The sequence below is a fragment of the Homo sapiens genome, chromosome 8 (genome assembly GCF_000001405.40).
Source record: "Homo sapiens chromosome 8, GRCh38.p14 Primary Assembly".
In the NCBI taxonomy this organism is placed as follows: Eukaryota; Metazoa; Chordata; class Mammalia; order Primates; family Hominidae; genus Homo; species Homo sapiens.
The window spans coordinates 82,129,853-82,156,437 of record NC_000008.11 but is presented as its reverse complement, the minus strand read 5'-3'; the positions used below and the strand labels follow the sequence as shown (position 1 = coordinate 82,156,437).

Genomic DNA, 26,585 nt, shown 5'->3' with positions numbered 1-26,585 from the left:
TATCAGTAAAGGTAATTATGTAAGTAATTATAAAGGACACTATAACTGCATATTTCTTCACCTTTGTCCCCTTGACTAATTTAAGAATTAATTGCAAAAATCAATGTGTATAAAATTGAAAAGGTTTTTAAAAATATAACTAGCAGAATAATACTCCTTCCAAAATGTCCACATCTTGATCCCTAGAACCTGAGAATACCTTACTTTACATGGATAAAGAGATTTTGCAAGTGTGATTAAAATAAAAAATCTTCAGACAAGATTATCCTGGATTACTCAGATCTAAGATGAATCTTGAAATGTAGAGACCATTTCTTGAGTTGAAATCATTTAGACATCAGTGTGATGATGGAAGAAAAGTCATAGGGATGCAATGTAAAAAGAACTTGATCTGCCAAGACTGGCTTCAAAGATGGAGTAAGAGAACCATCAGCAGGTGTGGACATCCCCTAGAAGCTGGAAAATGGAAAGGAACTTCTTCTCCCCTAAAGCCTACAGAAAGGAACACAGCCCTTGATCTTTCCCAATGAGACTCCATCTCAGATGTGTTACCTAAAGAACTGTAAGATAAAAATTGTTTTAAGCTACTAAATTTGTGATAAAGTTATGGCAACAATGTACAACTATTAAAAGCAAAGAGATCCAGTCAGAATATGCAAATATATAGAAGTAAAAGATTAATAGTTGCATAGGGCTTGAGTAAGTGTGGAATAATGAGTGCTAATGGAGTTTCTTTTAGGGGACACAAAAATATTTTAAAATCAGATTGGGGTAATTTTTACACAGCCCTGTGACAAACTCAAAATCACTGAATTGTACAATTTAAATGGGTGAATTGGATAGTATGTGAATAATACATCAACAAAGCTATTTCTGAAAGAATATGATACTGCTTTGAGAATTGGGCATGTTTCTTTTGACTAAAAGAGAGAGATCACCTGTTTCTAAATGAAATAAAAAAATGTTATTTATCGGAAAAAATGGGGCATTTTACTGAAATAAGTAATGGGATGTATAACTATGACTTAGTGAAGGAAAGAAGGACAAAACCTCTGGAATTTTGATGAGGAAGATTAGAGATATTTTCCAGGTGCTACTCCAGCCTTTTCAGGCTCTGTGCCCTTGCATTTTCATAAGATAATATGCATTGGGCCAAGTGGTCAAGGAGATTTTCCTCTGGAAGTAGAATCATTTGACTTTGATTTTTTTTAAAACCACTTCCCCACTAAACTAGGAATACAGGGAGGCTTCTTCCCTTAAAGAGTATCTACAACAAACCTACACTAACATCATATTTAATGGTGAGAAACTCAAAGATTCCCTACTAAAATAAAGGCAAGAAAGTCCCCTGTCACCACTGCTCTTCAGCATCACTGACAATTCTAGCTAATAAAATAAGACAAAAAAATAAACAAAAGGTATACAGATGGGTAAGTATAAAATGAAACCGTCTTTATTCACAGGTGACATGATTATCTATGTAGAAAAGCCAAAAGAATCGACAAAAAAAAATCTCCAGGAACTAATTGCTTAATTATAGCAAGTTGTTTAGAATACAAGGTTAATATACAAAAGTCAAATGCTTTCTTATATACCAGCAATGAACAAGTAAAATTTGAAATTACAAACACAATATTATTTGCATTAGCACCCCAAAAATAAATACTTAGGTGTAAATCTAACAAAATATGTACAAGATCTGTGTAAGGAAAACTACAAAATTCTCATAAAAGAAACCAAAGAAGAATTCAATAAATGGAGAGATGTCCCATATTAATGAACAGGAAAGATCAATATTGTCAAGATGCTTGTTTTTCCCAACTTGATCTATAGATCTGATGTAGTTCCAGTCCAAACCTCAGCAAGTTACTTTGTGGATATTGACCAGTTAATTCTGAAGTTTACATAGAGAAGTAAAAGAGGCAGGATATCCAACACTGTATTGAAGAACAAAGTTGGAAGACTTACATTACCTTTCTTCAAAACTTACTATGAAGCAACAATAATAAAGACAGTGTGGGCCGGGCGCAGTGGCTCACGCCTGTAATCCCAGCACTTTGGGAGGCCGAGGTGGGCAGATCATGAGGTCAGGAGATCGAGACCATCTTGGCTAACATGGTGAAACCCCGTCTCTACTAAATATACAAAAACTTAGCCGGGCATGGTGGTGGGCGCCTGTAGTCCCAGCTACTTGGGAGGCTGAGGCAGGACAATGGTGTGAACCCGGGAGGTGGAGCTTGCAGTGAGCCAAGATCATGCCACTGCACTCCAGCCTGGGCGATGAGCGAGACTCCATCTCAAAAAATAAATAAATAAATAAATTAAATTAAAAAGACAATGTGGCATTAGTGAAAAAATAAACAGATCAATGGAACAGAATAGAGAGAGCCCGGTGACAGATCCACATAAATAAAGTCAACCAATCTTAGAGACAGAGAAGGAAAGGCAATACAATAGAAAAAAAGATAGTTTTTCAACAAATAGTGCTGAAATAACTGGACATCATATTCAAAAAATAAATCTAGGCCCAGATTTTAAACACTTCCTTAAAATTAATTCAATATAGATCCCAGACCTAAATGTGAAACACAAAACCATAAAACTCCTAGAAAAATAGCACAGGAAAACTATAGATGACATTGTACTTAGCAATGACTTTTAGAAATAATAACATCGAAGGCACAATCCATGAAAGAAAGAATTAATAAACTCTATGAAAGACACTGTCAAGAGAATGAAAAGACAAATCACAGATTGGAAGAAAATATTTGCAAAAGACGTCATATAAAGAATTGCTATTAAAATACAAAACAAATTCTTATAATTCAGCAATAAGATAACAAACAAGCAGTTTTAAAATTGAGCCAAAGACCTTAACAGACACTTCATCAAAGAAGATATATAGATGGCAAATAAATATGAAAAGATGTTCTACTTCATATGTCACGAGAGAAATACAAATACAAATTACAGCAACAATGAGATAACACTACACATCTCTTAGAATGGCCAAAATTCAGCATACTGACAATATCAAATGCTGAGAAGGATGGGGAGCAATAGGAACTACCATTCATTGCTGGTGGGAATGCAAAATGGTAAAGCCACTTCAGAAAACAGTTTGGCAATTTCTCAAAAAATAAATAAATAAATAAAATAAACAAACACACTGTTATTATACAATTCAGAAATCACGTTCCTTGTTTTTTTCTCCCAAAATGAATATATATGTACACACAAAAGCCTGCATATGGATTTGTATAACAGCTTTATTCATAATTGCTAAGATTTGATAGGAACCAAGATGTTCTTCAGTAAGTGAATGGATAAACTAAGGTATATTCAGATAATGGACTATTATTCAGCACTAGAAAAAAAAATTAACTATCAAGCCATGAAAAGGTATGGAGGAAACCTAAATTCATGTTACTAATTGAAAGAAACTAGTCTGTAAAGGCTACTTACTATATGGTTTCAAGTATATCACATTTTGGAAAAGGCAAAAATGTCTAAAAATATATCAGTAGCTGTTAGGACTTAGAGGGGAAGACAGATGAATAGGCAGAACACAGAGGATTTTTAGGGCAATGGAAATACCCTGTATAATACTATACTGGTAGATACTTGTCTTATACTTTGGTCCAGATCCATAGAATGTACAATACCAAGAGTGACCCCCTAATGCAAACTATGGTCTTGGAATCTGGGTGGTAATTATGTGTCAATGTAGGTTCATAAATTGTAACAAATGTACCACTCTGGTGGAGATATTGATAATGAGGGAGGCTATGCCTCTGTGAAGGCAAAGAGTATATGAGAAATTCTGTACTGTGCACTATTCTGCTATAAACATAAAACTAATCTGAAAAATTAAGTCTGTTAAAGAATTTCACCATAAAACCACTTTTCTTAATGTTAAATTTTTCTAACAATCATTTACCAAATCTTATTTAGAAAATAGCTTTAGCTGGACACGGTGGCTGATGCCTGTAATCCCGGCACTTTGGGAGACTGAGGAGGGCAGATCACAAGGTCAAGAGATCAAGACCATCCTGGTCAACATGGTGAAACCCAGTCTCTACTAAAAATACAAAAATTAGCTGGGCTTGATGGCACGCACCTGTAGTCCCAGCTACCCAGGAAGCTGAGGCAGGAAAATCACTTGAACCCAGGAAGTGAAGGTTACAGTGAGAAGAGATGGCACCACTGCACTCTAGCCCAGTGACAGACCCAGAATCTATCTCAAAAAAAAAAAAAAAAAAAATTGCTTTAACTTGTTCACCAATAAGCATGTAATCAATTTGTTTGCCTGTGGCCAGCCAAATTTATTCTATAATAGTTTTTCTTTGCTCTGGATCCGTGGCTTTTGGGGAATAAAATCTTCTTTAGTTTTTGAAAGTTCAGGTATTTTACTTCTCTCAAGTGTAAAAGATTTTATTAACAACAGGACAGGTTTCTCTCAGCATGAGTGCCTATTATTTGTTTTCTTTTAACAGGAATTCCTGCAAAAAGTAATAAACTAAAAGAAAACCTAAAGGGTATAAATGTAAAATTAAGTCCTTTTACTCTCTCCAGTTGAACTACCTAGAGAAAACCATTTTAAATCACAATTTCAGAAGATTTTAAAAATTCAACTCTACCTAAAGACATCATAAAATGGCTCATTATTCCATCATCCAGGTAACTACCATTATTATTTTAAATGAATTCAAAAATATATGTACCTGACCATAAAATTACACTAAAAGCAATTTTAGTATTATTTTATCTATTTCATGATTTTCCTCCCAGAGAGCTCCAGTTCTGTATTCCAATAGTACCAAAAATCTGCATCCCAAGGTTTTGTGTCACATTCCCTAAAACAATTTATATGAACATGACAAATATGTCATTTGTATATTCCATATTTTCTCAGTTGGTTATTTGCTTTTGAAACTAAATCCTTACATATCAGTATTTGCAGATTTACTGCGTTCATTTTTCTTATTCTTTTGTTATTATTTTATTCATATTAAATAATAATAAAAAGTGAATATTAATGTACTCCCTTCTCAGCTTTAAAATATTCATGAGTACTCAAACCTTGAAGTTCTCTATGCACTTATCCTGGACGGCATAGCCTACATTCAACCCAGAAGTAAATGTTATCTTGAATTTTTTATTTTATCATTCCTTTACACATAATTATGTTTTGCAAGATAATATTTATGATTAGTATTATTTTAATTGTATTGAAACTGAATACTATTAAATGGTTTTTCTTGCAACTTACTGTTTTCATTGTGTTTGTGAAATTCACCCTTGTGATTGTGTGAAATACTAACTTATTCATTCTCACAACTGTTTTGTATTCTATCTTACAAATATAACACAATTTATCCAGCTGACTTTGGACTTTTTGGTTGTGTCTAGTTTTATCCTGTCCTGGAAAATGTTGCTATTAATATTTTTATACATATATTTTCATTCACATGTTACAATGACTTTCTCTAGGACATATCAAAGGAGTAGAAGTGTTATTTTAGAAGGAAATTGCTTAGCTATACAAGGTAATGCCACGGCAAGTACAGATAGGAGCATTAGCTTACATCCTGACCAATACTTGGAATTAGCCGACTTAAAATTTTGCTAAGCTGATAGGTTTAAAATGATAATCTTATTGATTTTAATTAGTAGTTTCCTGTTTACAAATTAGGTGGGGTGTCTTATGTTTATTAGCCATTCATTTCCTCTTTCAAATGTGTTTCTTGCCAATTTTTCCAAGTGATTATTTGTCTTTTGTTAATAGTTTTCAGAAATATTTTTGTTTAAAATAGAAATGTCTTATTTATTTTATGTGTTTAAGTGATCTACTTGAGGCTTAGCTTTTCACTTTACTATAACTGTTTATGATGAAGCTGTAACCTCAATTTTAAAGTAAAGATGTTTATAAAGCCTTTTATTTCTCGTTCATACTTTTCGTTCTTTAAAAAAAAAAAAAAAATGTACTTTTGGCCGGGCACAGTGCACTGCTCACGCATGTAATCACAGCACTTTGAAAGGCCGAGGCGGGTGGATCACAAGGTCAGGAGATCGAGACCATCCTGGCTAACAAGGTGAAATGCCGTCTCTACTAAAAATACAAAAAATTAGCCAGGCGTGGTGGCGGGCGCCTGTAGTCCCAGCTACTCCGGAGGCTCAGGCTAGAGAATGGCACAAACCTGGGAGGCACAGCTTGCAGTGAGCTGAGCTCGCCACTGCACTCCAGTCTGGGCGACAGAGCGAGACTCCGTTTCAAAAAAAAGAAAATGTACTTTTAATTGCAAGATTTACCTACATTTACTTCACAAATATTACAAGTTTTGCTCTTCACATTTAATTTTTAATCTATCTTAAATTTTGATATAGTATTAAATAATACCTTTATTGGACAATCTATGTTTCCTTTACATTTATTATTAAAATTTTTATTTAAATTGCCGTGAATTAATGGATTATTCCGGATTGAATTATCATGAACTGGCTATCTTTCTTGAATTGTTTAGCTATTCTGTTGCATTTTTTATCAACTTCTATAAATTTTTCCATTAAGATCTTGTACTTCCTTTTGTATTTATTTCTTGGAAACCCTTTTTAGTGTCAGTTTTTAAATTTTGTTTCTAATTGCTATTTTCTATGTAGAGAAATACATTTTATTTTTGCATATTCTTATATTTAGAAACTTTGCCTGTCTCTTTAATTATAATAATCATTTCAAGAACTCATTGGGGCTCTCTGTGTATACAGAGAGTCTTATTAATACATTTGTAGTTTTGATGCTTTCATTCATAATTTATAATTTATATGGTTTGTTATACAGTTCAGATTTCTGTTACAACACTGAACAGGGGTGATACAATGGCCTTCCTTATCCAGTTTCTATTTAAAGTGTATTCTTTAACGTTTCTCTATTTTCCATTAGGTGAGCTAAAATGCTGTTTTATAAAAATGTCTGTATTATTTGATAATAATAGAAGGCCCGCATTTAATTTATTTTAGTTTAACAAATAGCTCCTGCTATGGACTAAATGGGTCTCCCCAAAATTCATATGTTGAAGTCTTAATTCCCAGTGTAATGGTGTATTAGTTCTCATACTGCTCTAAAGAACTGCCTGAGACTAGGTAATTTATACAGGAAAGAGGTTTAATTGACTCACAGTTCTGCATGTCTGGGGAGGCCCCCGGAAACTTACAATCATGGCAGAAGGTGAAGGGAAAGCAAGGCATATCTTACATTCCAGCCAGAGAGAGAGAGAGAGAGCAAAGAGGAAAGTGCCACTTTTAAACCGTCAGTTCTCGTGAGAACTCACTCACTAGGAGGAGGACAGCATGGGGGAAAACCACCCCCTCCACCTGGTCTTTGACATGTGGGGATTATGAGAATTATAATTAAAGATGAGCTTTGGGTGGGGACACAAAGCCTAACCATATCAGATAGTATTTGGAAATGGGGCCTTTGGAAGATAATTAGATTTGAAGGAGGTTATGCAGGTGTAGACCCAGTAGTGGGATTGATATTCTTATAATAAGATGAAGACAGCCAAGCTCTCTCTCTCTCTCACTGCTATGTGAGGATACAGAGAGAAGGCACCTTTCTGAACAACTGATGATTACTGAGCATCTAGAGCATCTGTGAACTTCCTATTTATGGACTTCGTTTATGAAAGAAACATAAATATTATCATATTTAAGACAATAATCTTGAGTTTGCCGTCATGTAGAGCTAAATGTAAATCTAAGTAAATATGCATGTTATTAGATTTTTTTAAAAAGCTGACTTCTATTTTTAGCTTGCCAGAATTTTATCATTCTTGTTAAATTGTACAAAATATTTTTACAGATGTTTTTCTCTTTTATTTCTTTAATTTAGTGAGTCATTTTATAACTATACTATTTACTAATCTCAATCTGTTGCTTTTTATTTCTGCTTACTCTTCATAGCAAAATTTTCTCCTGTTTCTGTGATATTCTTTTGTGAATTAATTTTTTCTGGAACTTATCCATGGGAATTATTTTAGTCCTGCACTAAGTTGCAATATTCCAGAAATGATCTTCATTTGCCTCTCCCAAGAGCGTAAGTGAACTAAAAAAATCAGAGCTACTTTAGAATAAAGTCCTAAGTTTGGAGTTTTCAGCATATATGTTATTGAAATTCAGTTTCATTGCCACATTAGAAACAGTTTACATTTCAATCTAAACAGATTGAAGGAGGAAATGTTTCCCCACTCTGCCTACAGCCAAAGGCCATAAACAGCACATTTTATTGGCAGGGTAGAATTTTTTTATTTGCTTATTTATATATGTATGTTTGTTTAGTTTACCCATTTTACTAAGTTGACTAATCTTCAGAGATTTTCAATCTTATGATTTTCTGTGTTTGAGCCCTAGGTTTTGTCTCCTGTTCCTTGCAGAGTAAAGACCCACTTGAAGTGAGCCTCTGAGCTGACCAGAAACCCAGAGGCTTCTGTGCTCACTGATTTTTCAGGATTTGTTGTGTTCTCTTTTTGGTCTTACAGAATTTTCCACATTTGTTTGCCTTCTCCTCTGATACACTTGTAAAACATGCTTTCAATATTTATTCAATACTTGTGCTTACCCACTATGTATTAATTTCCTTGTTGGTTTAAAGTCTGTTTTACCAGAGACTAGGATTGCAACCCCTACTTTTTTTTTGTTTTCCATTTGCTTGGTAGATCTTCCTCCATCCCTTTATTTTTAGCCTATGTGTGTCTCTGCACGTGGGATGGGTCTCCTGAATACAGCACACTGATGAGTCTTAATTCTTTATCCAATTTGCCAGTCTGTGTCTTTTAATTGGGACATTTAGTCCATTTACATTTAAGATTAACATTGTTATGTGTGAAATTTGATCCTGTCATTATGATGTTAGCTGGTTATTTTGCTCATTAATTCATTAATTGATGCAGTTTCTTTCTAGGATCGATTGTCTTTACAATTTGCTATGTTTTTGCAGTGGCTGGTACCAGTTGTTCCTTTCCATGTTTAGTGCTTCCTTCAGGAGCTCTTATAAGGCAGGCCTGGTGGTGACAAAATCTCTTAGCATTTGCTTGTATGTAAAGGATTTTATTTCTCCTTTACTTATGAAGCTTAGTTTGGCTGGATAAGAAATTCTGGGTTGAAAATTCTTTTCCTTAAGAATGTTGAATATCGACCCCCACTCTCTTCTGGCTTGTAGGGTTTCTGCCGAGAGATCCGCTGTTAGTCTGATGGGCTTCCGTTTGTGGATAAACTGACCTTTCTCTCTGTCTGCCCTTAACACTTTTTCCTTCATTTCAACTTTGGCGAATCTGACAATTATGTGTCTTGGAGTTGCTCTGCTTGAGGAGTATCTTTGTGGTATTCACAGTATTTCCCGAATTTGAATGTTGGCCTGCCTTGCTAGATTGGGGACTTAGACTCCCACACAATAATAATGGGAGACGTTAACACCCCACTGTCAACATTAGACAGATCAACAAGAGAGAAAGTTAACAAGGATATCCAGGAATTGAACTCAGCTCTGCACCAAGCAGACCTGATAGACATCTACAGAACTCTCCACCACAAATCAACAGAATCTACGTTCTTCTCAGCATCACATTGCACATATTCCAAAATTGACCACATAGTTGCAAGTAAAGCACTCCTCACCAAATGTAAAAGAAGAGAAATTATAACAAACTGTCTCTCAGACCACAGTGCAATCAAACCAGAACTCAGGACTAAGAAACTCACTCAAAACCACACTACTGCATGGAAACTGAACAACCTGCTCTTGAATGACTACTGGGTACATAACAAAATGAAGGCAGAAATAAAGATGTTCTTTGAAACCAGTGAGAACAAAGACACAATGTACCAGAATCTCTGGGACACATTTAAAGCAGTGTGTAGAGGGAAATTTATAGCACTAAATGCCCACAAGAGAAAGCAGGAAGATCTAAAATTGACACCCTAACATTACAATTAAAAGAACTGGAGAAGCAAGAGCAAACACATTCAAAAGCTAGCAGAAGGCAATAAATAACTAAGATCAGAGCAGAACTGAAGGAGATAGAGACAAAAAAACTCCTCAAAAAAATCAATGAATCCAGGAGCTGGTTTTTTGAAAAGATCAACAAAATTGATAGACCACTAGCAAGACAAATAAAGAAGAAAAGAGAGAAGAATCAAATAGATGCAATAAAAAATGATAAATGGGATGTCACCACCAATCCCACAGAAATACAAACTACTATCAGAGAATACTATAAACGCCTCTATGCAAATAAACTAGAAAATCTAGAAGAAATGGATAAATTTCTCGATACTTACACCCTCCCAAGACTAAAGCAAGAAGAAGTTGAATCCCTGAATAGACCAATAACAGGATCTGAAATTGAGGCAATAATTAATAGCCTAACAACCAAAAAAAAGTCCAGGACCAGACAGATTCACAGCCGAATTCTACCAAAGGTACAAAGAGGAGTTGGAACCATTCCTTCTGAAACTATTCCAATCAATAGAAAAAGAGGGAATCCTCCCTAACTCATTTTATGAGGCCAGCATCATCCTGATACCAAAGCCAAGCAGAGACATACAAAAAAGGAGAATTTTAGACCAATATCCCTGATTAACATTGATGCAAAACTCCTCAATAAAATACTGGCAAACTGAATCCAGCAGCACATCCAAAAGCTTATCCACCATGATCAAGTGGGCTTCATCGCTGGGATGCAAGGCTGGTTCAACATACTCGAATCAATAAATGTAATCCATCATATAAACAGAACCAAAGACAAAAACCACATGATTATCTCAATAGATGCAGAAAAGGCCTTTGACAAAATTCAACAGCGCTTAATGTTAAAAATTCTCAATAAACTAGGTATGGATGGGACATATCTCAAAATAATAAGAGCTGTTTATGACAAACCCACAGCCAATATCATACTGAATGGGCAAAAACTGGAAGCATTCCTTTTGAAAACTGGCACAAGACAAGAATGCCCTCTCTAACCACTCCTATTCAACATAGTGTTGGAAGTTCTGGCCAGGGCAAATCAGGCAGGAGAAAGAAATAAAGGTATTCAATTAGGAAAAGAGGAAGTCAAATTTTCCCTGTTTGCAGATGACATGATTGTATATTTAGAAAACCTCATCGTCTCAGCCCAAAATCTCCTTAAGCTGATAAGCAACTTCAGCAGTCTCAAGATACAAAATCAAGTGTAAAAATCACAAGCATTCCTATACACCAATAACAGATAAACAGAGAGCCAAATCATGAGTGAACTCCCATTCACAATTGCTACAAAGAGAATAAAATACCTAGGAATCCAACTTACAAGGGATGTGAAGGACTTCTTCAAGGAGAACTACAAACCACTGCTCAACAAAATAAAAGAGGACACAAGCAAATGGAAGGGCATTCCATGCTCATGGATAGGAAGAATCAATATCATGAAAGTGACCATACTGCCAAAGGTAATTTATAGATTCAGTGCCATCCCCATCAAGCTACCAATGGCTTTCTTCATAGAATTGGAAAAAACTACTTTAAAGTTCATATGGAACCAAAAAAGAGCCTGCATTGCCAACAGAATCCTGGCAGTAACCAAAATAGCATGGTACTGCTACCAAAACAGAGATATAGACTAATGGAACAGAACAGAGCCCTCAGAAATAATACCACACATCTACAACCATCTGATCTTTGACAAACCTGATGGAAACAAGAAATGAGGAAAGCATTCCCTATTTGATAAATGGTGCTGGGAAAACTGGCTAGCCATATGTAGAAAGCTGAAACTGGATCCCTTCCTTACACCTTATACAAAAATTAATTCAAGATGGATTAAAGACTTACATGTCAGACCTAAAACCATAAAAACCCTAGAAGAAAACCTAGGCATTACCATTCAGGACATAGGCATGGGAAAGGACTTTGTGACTAAGACACCAAAAGCAATGACAACAAAAGTCAAAATTGACAAATGGGATCTAATTAAAATAAGAGCTTCTGCACAGCAAAAGAAACTACCACCAGAGTGAACAGGCATCCCACAGAATGGGAGAAAATTTTTGCAATCTACCCATCTGACAAAGGGCTAATATCCAAAATCTACAAAGCACTTAAACAAATTTACAAGAAAAAAATCAAACAACCCCATCAAAAAGTGTGCAAAGTATATGAACAGACACTTTTCAAAAGAAGACATTTATGCAGCCAACAGACACATGAAAAAATGCTCATCAGCACTGGCCATTGGAGAAATGTAAATCAAAACCGCAATGGGATACCGTCTCACACCACTTAGAATGGCGATCATTAAAAAGTCAGGAAACAACAGGTGCTGGAAAGGATTTGGAGAAATAGGAACACTTTTACACTGTTGGTGGGACTGTAAACTAGTTCAACCATTGTGGAAGACAGTGTGGCGATTCCTCAAGGATCTAGAACTAGAAATACCATTTGACCCAGCCATCCCATTACTGGGTATATACCCAAAGTATTATAAATCATTCTACTATAAAGACACATGCACACATATGTTTATTGTGACACTACTCACAATAGCAAATACTTGGAACCAACCCAAATGTCCATCAATGATAGACTGGATTAAGAAAATGTAGCACATATACACCATGGAATACTATGCAGCCATAAAAATATGAGTTCATGTCCTTTGTAGGGACATGGATGAACCTGGAAACCATCATTCTGAGCAAACTATCGCAAAGACAGAAAACCAAACACTGCATGTTCTGACTCAGAGGTGGGAATTGAACAATGAGAATACTTGGACACAGGGTGGGGAACATTACACAATGGGGCCTGCCGTAGGGTGGGGGGAAGGGGGAGGGATAGCATTAGGAGATATACCTAATGTAAATGACGAGTTAACGGGTGCAGCACACCAACATGGCACATGTATACATATGTAACAAACCTGCACATTGTGCACATGTACCCTAGAACTTAAAGTATAATAATAAAAATAAATAAATACAATAAATAAATAAATAAATAAAATGAAAAAATTGTCAGGCATGGTGGTGCATGCCTGTAATCCCAGCTACTAGAAGGCTGAACTGGAGAATGGCTTGAACCCGGGAGGTGGAGGTTGCAGTGAGCTGAGATCACACCACTGCACTCCAGCCTGGGAGACAGAGCAGGACTCCATCTCAAAAAAAAAAAAAAAAAAAAAAAAGAAACGTGTCCTGCCAAAACTTGCATGTTGTGAGAGGCAGCACAGATTTCTATTCTGTACAGACAATGCCCACAGCCATCAGCAGCAGCACTACCCCAATTGCTGTAATGCTTATTTTACCCCAGCATTGGCCTCAAACAATAGGACCAGTTATTTCTCCTAACCAAGGCTTCTTAGCACAGACTTTTTCATGTCTATTGTTATGTAATAGTAATCATTTCACAGTTGGAAAATGAAGATTTTCTGTTGAGTGTCCATGCTAGTTTTTCTATGGTGATACTAATACAGAAGTTGGTAGTGCAGCTCCCACTAAACCAAAAATATAAACCTATTCTGTTGTTGCTGCTTTTAAATTAATTTGGTTATATTGTCACTTGTTCATTCTGTATACTTTAATGTTGAAATTAGATGTTTTTCCTCATTCATCCAATGTAGCCACTTTCTAATTTTTATTCTAGTACAAGTTTTTGATTCATCCATCAATCATCAACTGAAGGAGGTAGAAAAAGAAGCAAGAGACATTTAACTTGTGATTTACTAATTTTATCTATAATTTGCTTCCAACATTTTTTCATGGTTAAAGTGATCAGAAGATGTGGATATTATTAGATTCCACATTTAAAAATAAATTGGTACACTGTATAAATGCTTTTTTACAGACTGCTACATAGTTGAACCAGGAGCATCTCTGTACTTCAGAAGAGTTCCTTATTTTAGCTTTATTAATTCAAGAGTTCCATGTTGGATACCAGCATTCACACATTTAAAAAATAGAAATTTATACATGTGATGCTATAACACCTCCCAGATTTCCACCTATAAGCATACAGAGGCAGTATCCTCAAAAACACCAAAATTATGTCTTTTGTGGAACACGTTGTACTATATCACTAGTTAAGCATCACATTTATTTTGCAATAGATTTAAAGTACAAACCTAGTTCATTCCAGGCATTTCCCTCTATCATCACTAGGTAGACATACAAGATTTGTGTCTGATCTCCAGTTTTCTAAGAACGTGCACTAACTTCTTTTCTTTTCCTAAAATCATTCTGGGGAAAGACAAAATCTTTTATAAAAAAGAAATTATTTCCTTCTCAATCTAAACCTCAATAGAAACTTCACATGTATTGCCTTAGAAACGATGAGGAGATTCCTTTCGATCTGTTCCAATAGAAGAACCATATTTTCTGTCCTGCCTCCTCAGTGTTTGGGTTTCCATTTTATCACTTCCCACTTCTAGGAATCCACAAATCACAATGAGTCTGTTGGTTGCCTGGTTTACTCTTTAGCACCACATCAGTTAGTTATTAATTCAGTCTCAGTGATGTTCATCGAGCGTCAGTGGTGGTAGAGTGTGTTCAGTGTATATCTATGGATTACTCTGTATTGGGTACAGAAGTACCTCTCAAACAATTCAGTTTCGTTTTTTATTAGAGTGCCATAGTTTCTCTCTCTACTCGGCATTTTATGCCCAAACCCTTGTGTATATATATGTGTGTGTGTGTGTTATGTGTATATATATATATATACACACACACACACAATTTAGATAAATATGTGTATATATACACATAGGTACATGACTACAAATATGTTTACATATAGCCAGAAATACATCCTAAATTACTTAATTACTTAATTCAATTACTTAAATTCCTTAATTCAACTCTGCTTAAATTACATGTATATAAACCTCCCTCTATCACATCTTAGGCAAGAGATTATTCAATATCTTCTTAAACATCCCTAAGGTTGTAAAATTGATTATCATTTAAAATTCTGTCTGCTGTAATTGTATAGAGTTATTCCCACAAAAAATCTACTCTTTCTACATATAGTATTCACCCAATGGACTTTTGTTTTCCCTTCCAGAACCATACACAATATATTTAATCCAAAGACAATTAATGACATAAGGTTTTCATGGCAACTTTATTATGTGCATTTTTTATTTCCAAAGAAATTAAGGACAAATTGAAAGACAAATATTTGAACAAAAATTGCCCAGTCACTAAGCCAAGGTTCCCAGATTTATAATTGTCACATCAATCATGATATGGGAATAAATTTGTGAAAAACGTATGATAGTAACAATGGAGTTATTTCTAGTACCAAAAATTGACAGCAGGAATCCATTACATAAAAAGTAGGAAAAGCACTCCAGCAGCTTCCTGAAAAATGCCTAAAAAAATCAAGTAAGGCAAATCCTTAAAAAGAAGAAAAATGTGAAAATAAAAGACACTAATGGTAAGAAGTAACATATAAAGACAGGTGTGACTTTCCAGTTTTGCTTTGAAAAAGCATTTAAAAGTTACATAACTCTTTAGATAACAAGAATTCTAAAGAAGAGCTGAATTGGAAGCTGTGACAGATGTTACTACAAAATCAATTCAAAAATTATTCTTTTTCCAAAAATAGTAAGTAGTAGGAAAGAGATTATCATGTTTTCTTATACCACCTGGGGATACATATCTCAGTGACATTCAAAAACAGGGAGGAAGAGTAGGCATAATAATTAAAACATGAACATTACATCCATGATAGCAATAGGAAATAGGGAGAGAAATTGTAAATAAGAGTCTGTGACTTTTCCTATTGTTTTTTTTAACTCTTAACTCTTGATTATTCAAAACACTTAATTATGCCTCCAAATTTGAATTTTAGTATACTAAAAATAATCAACAAACAAAAGATGATCAGTGGTGGTTTTCTGTAAAGAATAAAATTTAGAGGCTCAGAATTAATATATATTTGGCTGGGCAACAGTATAGTTGATTTAAAAAAACTCACATTTATATAATTATTCTTCTAACAACTCAGTGCTTGGTTAGGTGGTCAGATTATATTGCTTTCTTTTTCTTCATTTCTGAGCTGTCCCCTAAACCACCATCCTGGACCAGGAAAGCTGGCTTTGTCCCAAATAACAATCTAAATGTAGGCTGTCTACCAAGAGTCCCAGACATATACACAACAAGTCCAAGAACAATACTGTTTCTAACTATTCAGATCATTTAATTTGAATAAGATTGTTTGGGCATCTATGTGTTAGGCAATTAATTTTTCTAGGGATAAGAAAATCAATAAATATACATATATGACCATAAACACATGTGCACATGCACACATATACACACCCCAGCTCTATCACTTATTGTTTGAAATATCTTGCTAGAAATCCCTAAAACTAATTTTCTTTTCGGTAAAGTGGAGATAGTCAAAATTCCTAATGAGTTGTTGAAAAAGCGTATGAAACAATACATGAACACATTGCCTAGCCCATAAGATATACAGTCAGCCCTTCATATCTATGAATTCTGTATCTGCAGATTCTACCCACTGCTGATCAAAAATATTTGAAAGTATTTGAAAAAGAAAAAAATACAATACAACAATAAAAATAATACAAATAGAAAAACAATATACTATAAAAACTATTTATATAATATTTACATTGTATTAGATATTTTAAGTAATCTAGAAATTATTTAAATTATGCAGAATGATGTGCATTGGTTATAAATAAATACTATGTAACATCATTTTGTATAAGAGAATTGAGCATCTGCAAATTTTGATATCCATAGGTGTCTTGGAACAAATGCCCCATGGATACTGAGGGATGACTGTATTCAATAAACATGTTAATATGTATAGACTATTATTAAGTAGAGTTGTTTAAATAAATAAAAATTTTCTAGAACTTTATTTTAGAGCTCATGTATTTCAACAGCTTCTTCAGAGTGTTCAGATAAACTGGGTACCTGAGGCAATGAATCATTGACAATACAAAAAATATAACTCAGAATTCTTTATTCCAAGATCTTTTTATTTAAGTTTTCATTTAGTTCCTTGTAACCTTTTAGCCTGAACTTTACCTCCTACCTCTTCTTCATATATATATGCACCCTGGAGAAAGAAGAGGTAGGAGGTAAGGTTTAGGCTAAAAAGTTACATATATATATAAATAGATTATCTACAACTTCAGCTACAATGATAACTTGGGCAAGCTTTATAAGAATTCCTAGCAGAAGCTGAACAGAATTCAGGTCCTGACTCCTAATTAACTGTTTTTTTGGAGATAGTATAGATGCTAAAAAATGAACAAACTAACAAATGAACTAATGAACTAATATATGTATATTCCTGTGTTAATCCTTTTTGCATTGCTATAAAGGAATACACAAGGCTGGGCAATTTATAAAGAAAATAGGTTTATTTGGCTCACAGTTCTGAAGGCTGTACAAGCATGGCTTCAGCATCTGCTTGGCTTCTGGTAAGGGAATTCCATATGAATATAGAATAGCTCATCCTGCCCAACTGAAACTACCATAACAGTGAGAACTATGTTGTAATGTGAATAGAATTTATTTGATGATTTCTAAAAACAAATTGACTTTTGTTTTCCAGTTATTATCAGAAAAAGAAGGACATGAAATATCACTGACTACTAGTAACTTTTACTTAATACATGAGATTCATGAAGGAAATGTATCTTTTCCAGGCTGAAAATTTCACTATCACTACCAATATGGGTAAAATTATCACACCTTCCCTTAGGTGTGAATATGCCTAGATAATATTCTAGAGTTACCATATATTATTGTAAGATATACACTGTAAAGGAAAAAGCATCATGCCAAAAAGATCATGGCATTCAGGCAGCCCAGAAGTCAGGACTGGTGGAGCCACCCTGAAATCCTCAGTCGCCTTTAACACACACACAAGATGGTTTCATCTCAGAAACAAATTCCACACTTCCCTTTCCTCTCCATTTCATGGCCAGTGCTGTTCCTCAAATGTTTATCATGCCCTGGATCGAGTATTAACTGTGTCACTCTTTTTCAGTCTTCCCTTACTGTAGGTAATCCTTTATCACATCACGTTATCATTGTTATTCATGTTGTCACTGTCATCTTTGGTGAAACTCCAAATGAAACCACTCTGCTCCCACATGGCCCACTCCTTTACTTTCCAGCCACTCAGTCTTTCTTATTGCTTCTCAAACAAATCATATATTCTTTTTTTTTTCTTTTTTTAAAAGACAGGGTCTCAATCTGTTGCCCAGGCTGGAGTGCACTGACATGATCTTAGTTCATTGCAACTCTGCTTCCTGGGCTCAAGGGATCCTCCCACCTCAGCTTCCCAAGTAGCTGGGACCACAGGCATGTGCCACCAAGTCCAGCTATTTTTTGTATTTTTTGTACAGATGAGGTTTCACCATGTTGCCTGGGATGGTCTCAAACTCCTGAGCTCAAGCATCCACCCACTTCAGCCTCCCAAAGTGCTGGGATTACAGGTGTGAGCTACCATACCCGGCAAATCATATATTCTTTAACTTTATTTGTGTTTTGTTTCCTCCGAATGAAATAATTTTACTTCTGTTCATGATGAACATTTTTCTGTCTGTGGTCTTCTTAATAAGAAAAAAAAACCATCCTACTTCCCTGCTCGTTTAATAGCAGTTGAATTGTATCTGTCTTCTTCACCAGACGAAAGATTCTCAAAGAACTCTTGTTCAACTTTACATCCTCCTCTATATCCAACACCATGATATAGTATCCTAACATAATATGCATTCAAGGAATACTTGTTGAATAAATCATTAGGCTGAATAATGTCCTATAATTTTTGTACTAGAAAATAATGTCGTTTGTATGTGAACTAAATACTTGAGTATTAGGTATGTTTTTTTCTAGACGAGTTCAAGTATTTTCTCTCCTCTTCAGAATGTGATCTAACTGAGAAACTGTGTGAAGAGTGACTTTACAATAGCGAAAAGTAGGAAAAGAGGAAGACAATCACTCATACTTGAGTTAGACATAAACACAGATTCTTAGATCTAAAGACTATTTGAAATAAAACCAATGTGTAATTTTTAAATTAATTCCATACTTTTTTGAGTATCCAGAGTAGAAATTAGCTTCTTAAAAAGAAAAAGAAATTCATTATCTATCACAAACCAAACAACTAGCTAGAAATATACAACTTCAGGAAAGTATGACTTTCACTCCTGAGTGCTACTTGATAAATTCTGTCTAAGATCTTATGCATCATTTATCTTTATTTTGGTCTCCACTGATTCATTCATTCACCCAGTAAACATACTGTGTTTCTATCTGTTTATAAAAGCTTAGGCTCAAACCTGAGGTTTGCATCCCTCTTCCCACACTCTCACTGGGAATCAAGGAGCCATAATTCCAATATATGAGAATTATGAAATCAAGGAGCCATAATTCTAAAACGTGAAGTGTTTATCAGAGAGAGTAGGTCAGGTGTGGGAGGAAGAGAGGGTACTAGTCACTTCACTGAGATTTTAGAATAAGGATGTGAGTAGTGAGATACAAAGCCCAGGAGTTGAGAGAATGCTAAAAATAATCCACTTCATAACACTTGTAGGCTTATTCTCAATCTATAAAATATGAATTAATTAACTCTGAATTGAAGCCTCCACTAACACCACCTTAGAGGAAAAAACAGCCAGAGTCATAAAAGTGGCACCAAGGAAAGTGGGGCATTTTCTATACTATAGGCAAGAACTGACTTTTTAGCCACCAGAACTGTTCAAAGAATAGAGGACATCCCTGAAGAAAAATATCACATGAAGAGGACTCCACAAAGAATTTAGAAAACCCAACCCAAAATTTCTGCATTCCAATTTATTCATTCATTTATTCAACATTTATTCATAATTACTGTATTCACCACAAGGGACATAGAAATACACAATAGACATAACCTTTGCCCTCATAAAGCTTATAATACAGTAATAGAAATATTAATTGATCAGTTAACCAAAAACAGACATAATTCTATTTTTGTTCATTGAACACATAATCATATTTAGTGGAATGCAATCAATCATCTGGTGGGCCAAAACATAGAAAGTAAACTGACTTAAATAAGGAGAACTTTTTATTTATTTAATGAAGTTAATGCCTACTATATGTCAGACATAACAATGGATTCAGTGGGGAGAGTAAAAAGCATGTACAAGACAGAGTCCCCTATCCTGCACATAGTATATGGCTTAATAGGAAAAACTGGCATAGATATCAACACACACACCTATAGTATGATGTGATAGCAAGGACATATAATAGAGCCCTTTGCACATTATCTCTACTGTATGTACACATAGAAAAAGCAATCAGAATACAGAGAAAAAAATTTTTTTTTAATTTCAATAGTTTTGGGAAAACAGATGGTTTTTTGTTACATAGATAAGTTCTATAGTGGTAATTTCTGAGATTTTGGTGCCCTCATCACCCAAGCAGTGTACACTGCCCAATGTGTAAACTTTTATCTCTCATCCTCCCCCACTACTTCCCCCCAAATCCCCAAAGTCCATTATATCATTCTTATGTCTTTGCATCCTCATAGTTTAGCTCCCACTTATAAGTGAGAACAAGGAATATTTGGTTTGCCAGTCCTGAGTTACTTCACCTAGAATAATGGTCTCCAATCCCATCCAACTTGCTGCAAATGCCATTATTTCGTTCCTTTTTATGACTGAATAGTATTCCATGGTGTATATATATCACATTTGTTATATGCACTCATTGATTGATGGGCACTTGGGCTGGTTTCATGTTTTTGCAATTGCAAATGTTGTAACTATAAACATGTGCGTGCAAGTGTCTTTTTCATATAATTAATTCCTTTTCTCTGGGTAGATACCCAGTAGTGGGATTGCTGGATCAAATGGTAGTTCTACTTTTAGTTCTTTAAGGAATTTCCACACTGTTTTCCATAGTGGTTGTATCAGTTTCATTCCTACAAGCAGAGTAAAAGTGTTTGGTTTTTACCACATCCACACCAACATCTATTTTTTTTTTATTTTTAAATTATGGCCATTCTTGCAGGAGTGAGATAGTATCACATTACAGCTTTAATTTTCATTTCCCTAATAATTAGTGATGTTGAGTATTTTTTCATATGTCTGCTGACCATTTGTATATCTTCTTTTGAGAATTATCTATTCATGTCCTTTGCCCGCTTTTTGATGGGGTTATTTGTTTTTTTCTTGCTGATTTGTTTGAGTTCCTTGCAGTTTCTGAATATTAGTTCTTTGTGGGATGCATACTTTGCAAATATTTTCTCACATTCTGTGGGTTGTCTGTTTACTCTGCTGATTATTTCTTTTGCTGTGCAGAAGTTTTTTAGTTTAGTTACATCCCATCTATTTATTTTTGTTTTTGTTGCATTTGCTTTTGGGTTCTTGGTCATGAAGTCTTTGCCTATGCCAACAACTAGAAGAGTTCTACTGATGTTATCTTCTAGAATTTTTATGCTTTCAGGTCTTATATTTAAGTCTTTGATCCATCTTGAGTTGAATTTTGTATAAGGTGAGAAATGAGGATCCAGTTTCATTCTTCTACATGTGGCTTTTCAATTATCCCAGCATCATTTGTTGAATAGGGTGTCCTTTCCCCCCCTTTATATTTTTGTCTGCTTTGTCAAAGATCAGTTGGCTGTAAGTATTTGGCTTTATTTCTGAGTTCTCAATTCTGTTCCATTGGTCTATGTGCCTATTTTTATACCAGTATTATGCTGTTTTGGTAACCATGGCCCATAGCCTTGTAGTATAGTTTGAAGTTGGGTAATGTGATGCCTCCAGATTTGTTCTATTTGCTTAGTCTTGCTTTGGCTATGCAGGGTCTATTTTGATTCCATATGTACTTTAGGATTGTTTTTTTCTAGTTTTGTGAAGAGGGATGATGGTACTTTGATGGGAATTGCATTGAATCTGTAGATTACTTTTGACAATATGGGCATTATTACAATATTGATTCTACCCATCCATAAGCATGGGATGGGTAGAATCAATATTGATTTCATATTTCCATTTGTGTTTCCGTTTGTTTGTGTCATCAATAATTTCTTTCAGCAGTATTTTGTAGTTTTCTTTGTAGAGATCTTTTACCTCCTCGGTTTGGTATATATCCAAGTTTTTTTGTTCGTTTGTTTGTTTTCAGCTGTTGTAAAAGGGATAGAGTTCTTGATTTTATTCTCAGCTTGGTTGTTTTTGGTGTTGAAGTTTCAAGATTTAGAACTTCTTTTAGCATTTCTTGCAGTTTTGCCTTGGTATAGCAGTGCTACTGATTTGTGTACACAGAATTTGTATCCCAAAACATTACTGAATTCATTTATCACATCTGGGAGCTTTTTGCATGAGTCTTTAGGGTTTTCTAGGGATATGATCATATCATTGGTGAACAGTGACAGTTTGACTTCCTCCTTACTGATTGGATGCCCTTGATTTCTTTCTCTTGTCTGATTACTCTGGCTAGGACTTCCAGTATTATGTTGAATAGAAGTGGTGAAAGTGGGCATCTTTGTCTTATTCCAATTCTCACAGGGAATGCTTTCAACTTTTCCCTGTTCAGTATAAGTTTGGCTGTGGGTTTGTCATAGATGGCTTTTATTGCTTTGAGGTTATGTTCTTTCTATTTCAATTTTCCTGAGAGTTTTAATCATAAGGGGTTGCTGGATTTTTGTCAAATGCTTTTTCTGCATCTATTGAGACAATCTGATAATTCTGGTTTTTAATTCTGTTTATGTGATGTATCACATTTATTGACTTGTATATGTTAAACCATCTCTGCATCACGGTTATGAATCCCACTTACTCACGGTTTATTATCTTTTTGATATGTTGGATTTGATTAGCTAGTATTTTGCTGAGGATTTCTGCATTTATGTTCATCAGGGATATTGGTCTATAGTTTTCTTTTTTTTGTTACATCCTTTCCTGGTTTTGGTATTAGGGTAATACTGTCTTCATAGTATGATTTAGGGAGAACTCCCTCTTTTTCTATCTTTTGGAATAGTTTCACTAAGTTTGGTATGAATTCTTCTTTGAATTTCTGATAAAATTCAGCTGTGAACTTGTCTGGTCCTGGACTTTTTTTTCTTGGCAATTTTATTACTATTTCAATCTTGCTACTTGTTATTGGTCTGTTCAGAGTTTCCATTTCTTCCTGATTTAATCTGGAAGGGTTGTATTTTTTCCAGTAATTTATCCATCTCCTCTAGATTTTCTAGTTTGTGTATGTAAAGGTGTTTGTAGTAGCCTTCAATGATCTTTTCTGTTTTCGTAGTATTGGTTGTAATAACTCCCATTTCATTTCTAATTGAGCTTATTTGGACCTTCTCTCTTCTTTTCTTGGTTAATCTCACTAATGGTCTATCAATTCCATTCATTTTTTCAAAGAACCAGCTTTTCATTTCATTTATCTTTTTGTATTTTGTATTCAATTTCATGTAGTTCTGCTCTGATCTTTGTTATTTGTTTTCTTCTGCTGGGTTTGGGTTTGATTTCTTCTTGTTTCTCTAGTTCCTTGGGGTGTGACCTTAGATCGTCTATTTGCACTCTTTCAGACTTTTTGATGTAGGCATTTAATGCTATGAGCTTTCCTCTTAACACCACTTTTGTTGTATCCCAGAGGTTTTGGTAAGTTGTGTCACTGTTATCATTCACCTCAAATATTTTTTTAATTTCCATGTTGATCTTGTTGACCCAAAAATCAAGAGCAGATTATATAATTTCCATGTATTTGTATAGTTTTAAGGATTCCTTTTAAAGTTATTATTCAATTTTATTCCACTGTGGTCTGAGAGGATATATAATATAATTTTGATTTTCTTAAACTTATTGAGACTTGTTTTGTAACCTATCATATGGTCTATCTTGGAGAATGTTCCATGTGCTGAATAAAAATATGTATACACTGAAGTTGTTGGGTAAAATATTCTGTAAATATCTGTTGAGTCCTGACCTTGTGATCGGCCTGCCTCAGCCTCCCAAAGTGCTGGGATTATAGGTGTGAGCCACTGCGCCTGGCCTCTCTGTCTTTTTTTTTTTTTTTAACTGTTGTTGCTTTAAAGTCTGTTTTGTCTGATGTGAGAATAGTTATTCCTGCTTGCATTTGGTTTTCATTTGCATGGAATATCTTTTTTCACCCCTTTACCTTAAGTTTATGTAAGTCCTTATGTGTTAGGTGAGTCCCTTGAAAACAGCAGATACTTGGTTAGTGAGTTTTTATTCATTCTGCTATTCTGTATCTTTTAACTGGAGCATTTAGGCCATTTACATTTAACGTTAGTATTGAGATGTGAAATATTGTTCTATTCATCATGTTAGTTGTTGCCTCAATACCTTGTTTTTTTCCTCCATTGTGTAACTGTTTCATAGGCCCTGTGAGATTTATGCCTTAAGGAGGTTCTATTTTGGTATATTTCAAAGTTTCATTTCAAGATTTACAACTTCTTTTAGCATTTCTTGGAGTGTTGGCTTGGTAGTGGCAAATTTTCTCAGCATTTGTTTGTCTGAAAAAGATTTTTTCTCTCCTTCATTTATGAAGCTTAGTTTTGCTGGATACAAAATTCTTGACTGACAATTATTTTACTTCAGGAAGCCAAAGATGGGACCCCAATCCCTTCAGGCTTATAAGGTTTCTGGTGAAAATCTTCTGTTAATCTGATAGGTTTCCCTTTATCAGTTATCTGATGCTTTTGTCTCACAGCTCAAGATATTTTCCTTTGTCTTGACTTAAGACAACATGATGACTATGTGCCTAGGTTATAATCTTTTTGCAATGAATTTCCAACATCTTCTTTGAGCTTCTTGTGTTGGGATTTTTAGATCTCTAACAAGGCCAGGGAAGTTTTCCTCAATTACTCTCTCAAATAAGTTTGCTAAACTTTTAGATTTCTCTTTTTCCTCAGGAACATCAAATATGCTTAGGTTTGGCCATTGAATATAATCGCAAATTTTTTGGAAGCTTTGTTCATTTTTTTAAATTCCCTTTTCTTTGTCTTGGCCTGATTGGGTTTATTTGAAAACCTTGTTTTGAAGCTTGGAATTTCTTTCTTCTACTTGTTGTAGTCTATTGCTGAAACTTTCCACTGCATTTTGTATTTATCTAAGTGTATCTTTCATTTCCAGAAGTTGTTTTTTCTTTATGATATCGATTTCTTTGGATAATGTTTCATCCATATCCTGTAATTTTTAAAAATTTCTTTAACTTGTTTTTCACTTTACTCTGGTATCTCCTTGAGTACCTTAATAATTGACCCTTTGGATTCATTTTCTGGCAGTTCAGAGATTTCTTCTTATTTAGATTCATTGCTGGGGAGCTGGTGTAATCTTTTGGGGGTGTTATAGAACCTATTTGGTCATAGTACCAGAATTACTATTCTGGTTTCTTCTTATTTGGGCACACCATTTCATTGGAGAAGTCTGAAACTCAAGGACTGCTGTTCAGATTCTCTTGTCCCACAGGGTGATCCTTTGATGTGGTGCTGTCCCCCTTCCCCTACAATGGGGATTCTTGAGAGCTGGACTGCAGTGATTGTTATTGCTCTTCTGGGTCTAGCCACCCAGCAGGGTTACCAGGCTCTGGGCTGGTGTTGAGGAATGTCTGCAAGGATTCCCATAATGTGATCCATCTTCAGGTCTCCCAGCCACTGATACCAGCACCTTCTCTGATGGAGGTGGCAGGGAAGTGAAGTAGACTCTGTGAGAATCCTTGGTTGTAGGTATGTTTAGTGGTCTGGCTTTCTTGAATGCTGGTTATGATAGCAGTGAAGTTGTCATGTGGACATGCTCAGGACCTCTGGTTAGCCAGGATGTTGCAGACAGTAGAATTAGGTGTTGTCTTCTCCTTCTTGAGATCAGGGTCATTCTGTCATGAAGTGTCACAATGGCCTGAGTTGCTTGGCCTCCAACCAGGAGGTGGCACTTTCAAGAGAGCACCAGCTGTGGTAGTAGTCAGGAGCTCTAGGCTTGCCCTAAGACGGCCAAGGTAAGTATTTTGGTTTCTCAGGCAATGGGCAGGGCCTTAAAGCTCCCAAGGGTGCCTATGCTTTGTGTTTGGCTACCAGGGCGTCAGGGAAATACCATCAGATGGGGGCAGGATTAGGCAAGGCTTGGCACAGACTCTCCTTGGGTGGGGCACTTTCTGTGGCTACTATGGGGTGGGGGGTTGCTTCTCAGGCCAATGGGGTTATGTTCCAGAGGAGATCTTGGCTGTCTCTGCTCTGATCATATAGTTTGCCAGGGAAGTCAGGGATAACCATTTTTGAGAGGCCTCACCCAGTTCCCATGCAGGTAGTGAGGCCAGTCTTGTTCTGGCAGTGCTCCACTCAGACCTTGCCCCAGGCTGTGAGATACCCTGCTGAGAAAGCAAGCACAGCTTTTGGACCTTGCCTCTCCCTGTTTGGCCACTACTGTACTCCTGCGCTCATTCATATCCACAGCAGCTCTGGCTAGTCCCCCAGACTCCACTCAAGGAAATTTGTGCCAAGTGGGAGCCACTACCAATTCCAGTTGGGAGCTTCCTTCACCTGGCAACCCCTCCCCAGTTCTGCT

The 26,585-nt window shown here is 35.4% G+C and overlaps 1 long non-coding RNA gene across 2 annotated transcripts in view; it reads left to right on the top strand.

The window, feature by feature from the left end:
* Positions 1–26,585, top strand: part of LINC02839 (long intergenic non-protein coding RNA 2839) — a 51,947-nt gene that overhangs the window by 4,076 nt on the left and 21,286 nt on the right. Inside the window, exon 2 of one of the 2 annotated variants that reach the window (NR_183481.1) lies at positions 4,576–4,680. This is a non-coding gene — a long non-coding RNA (long intergenic non-protein coding RNA 2839). Of the gene's footprint in view, positions 1–4,496; positions 4,681–26,585 lie in introns of both variants that reach the window. The other variant, NR_183479.1, reaches the window with a different exon arrangement.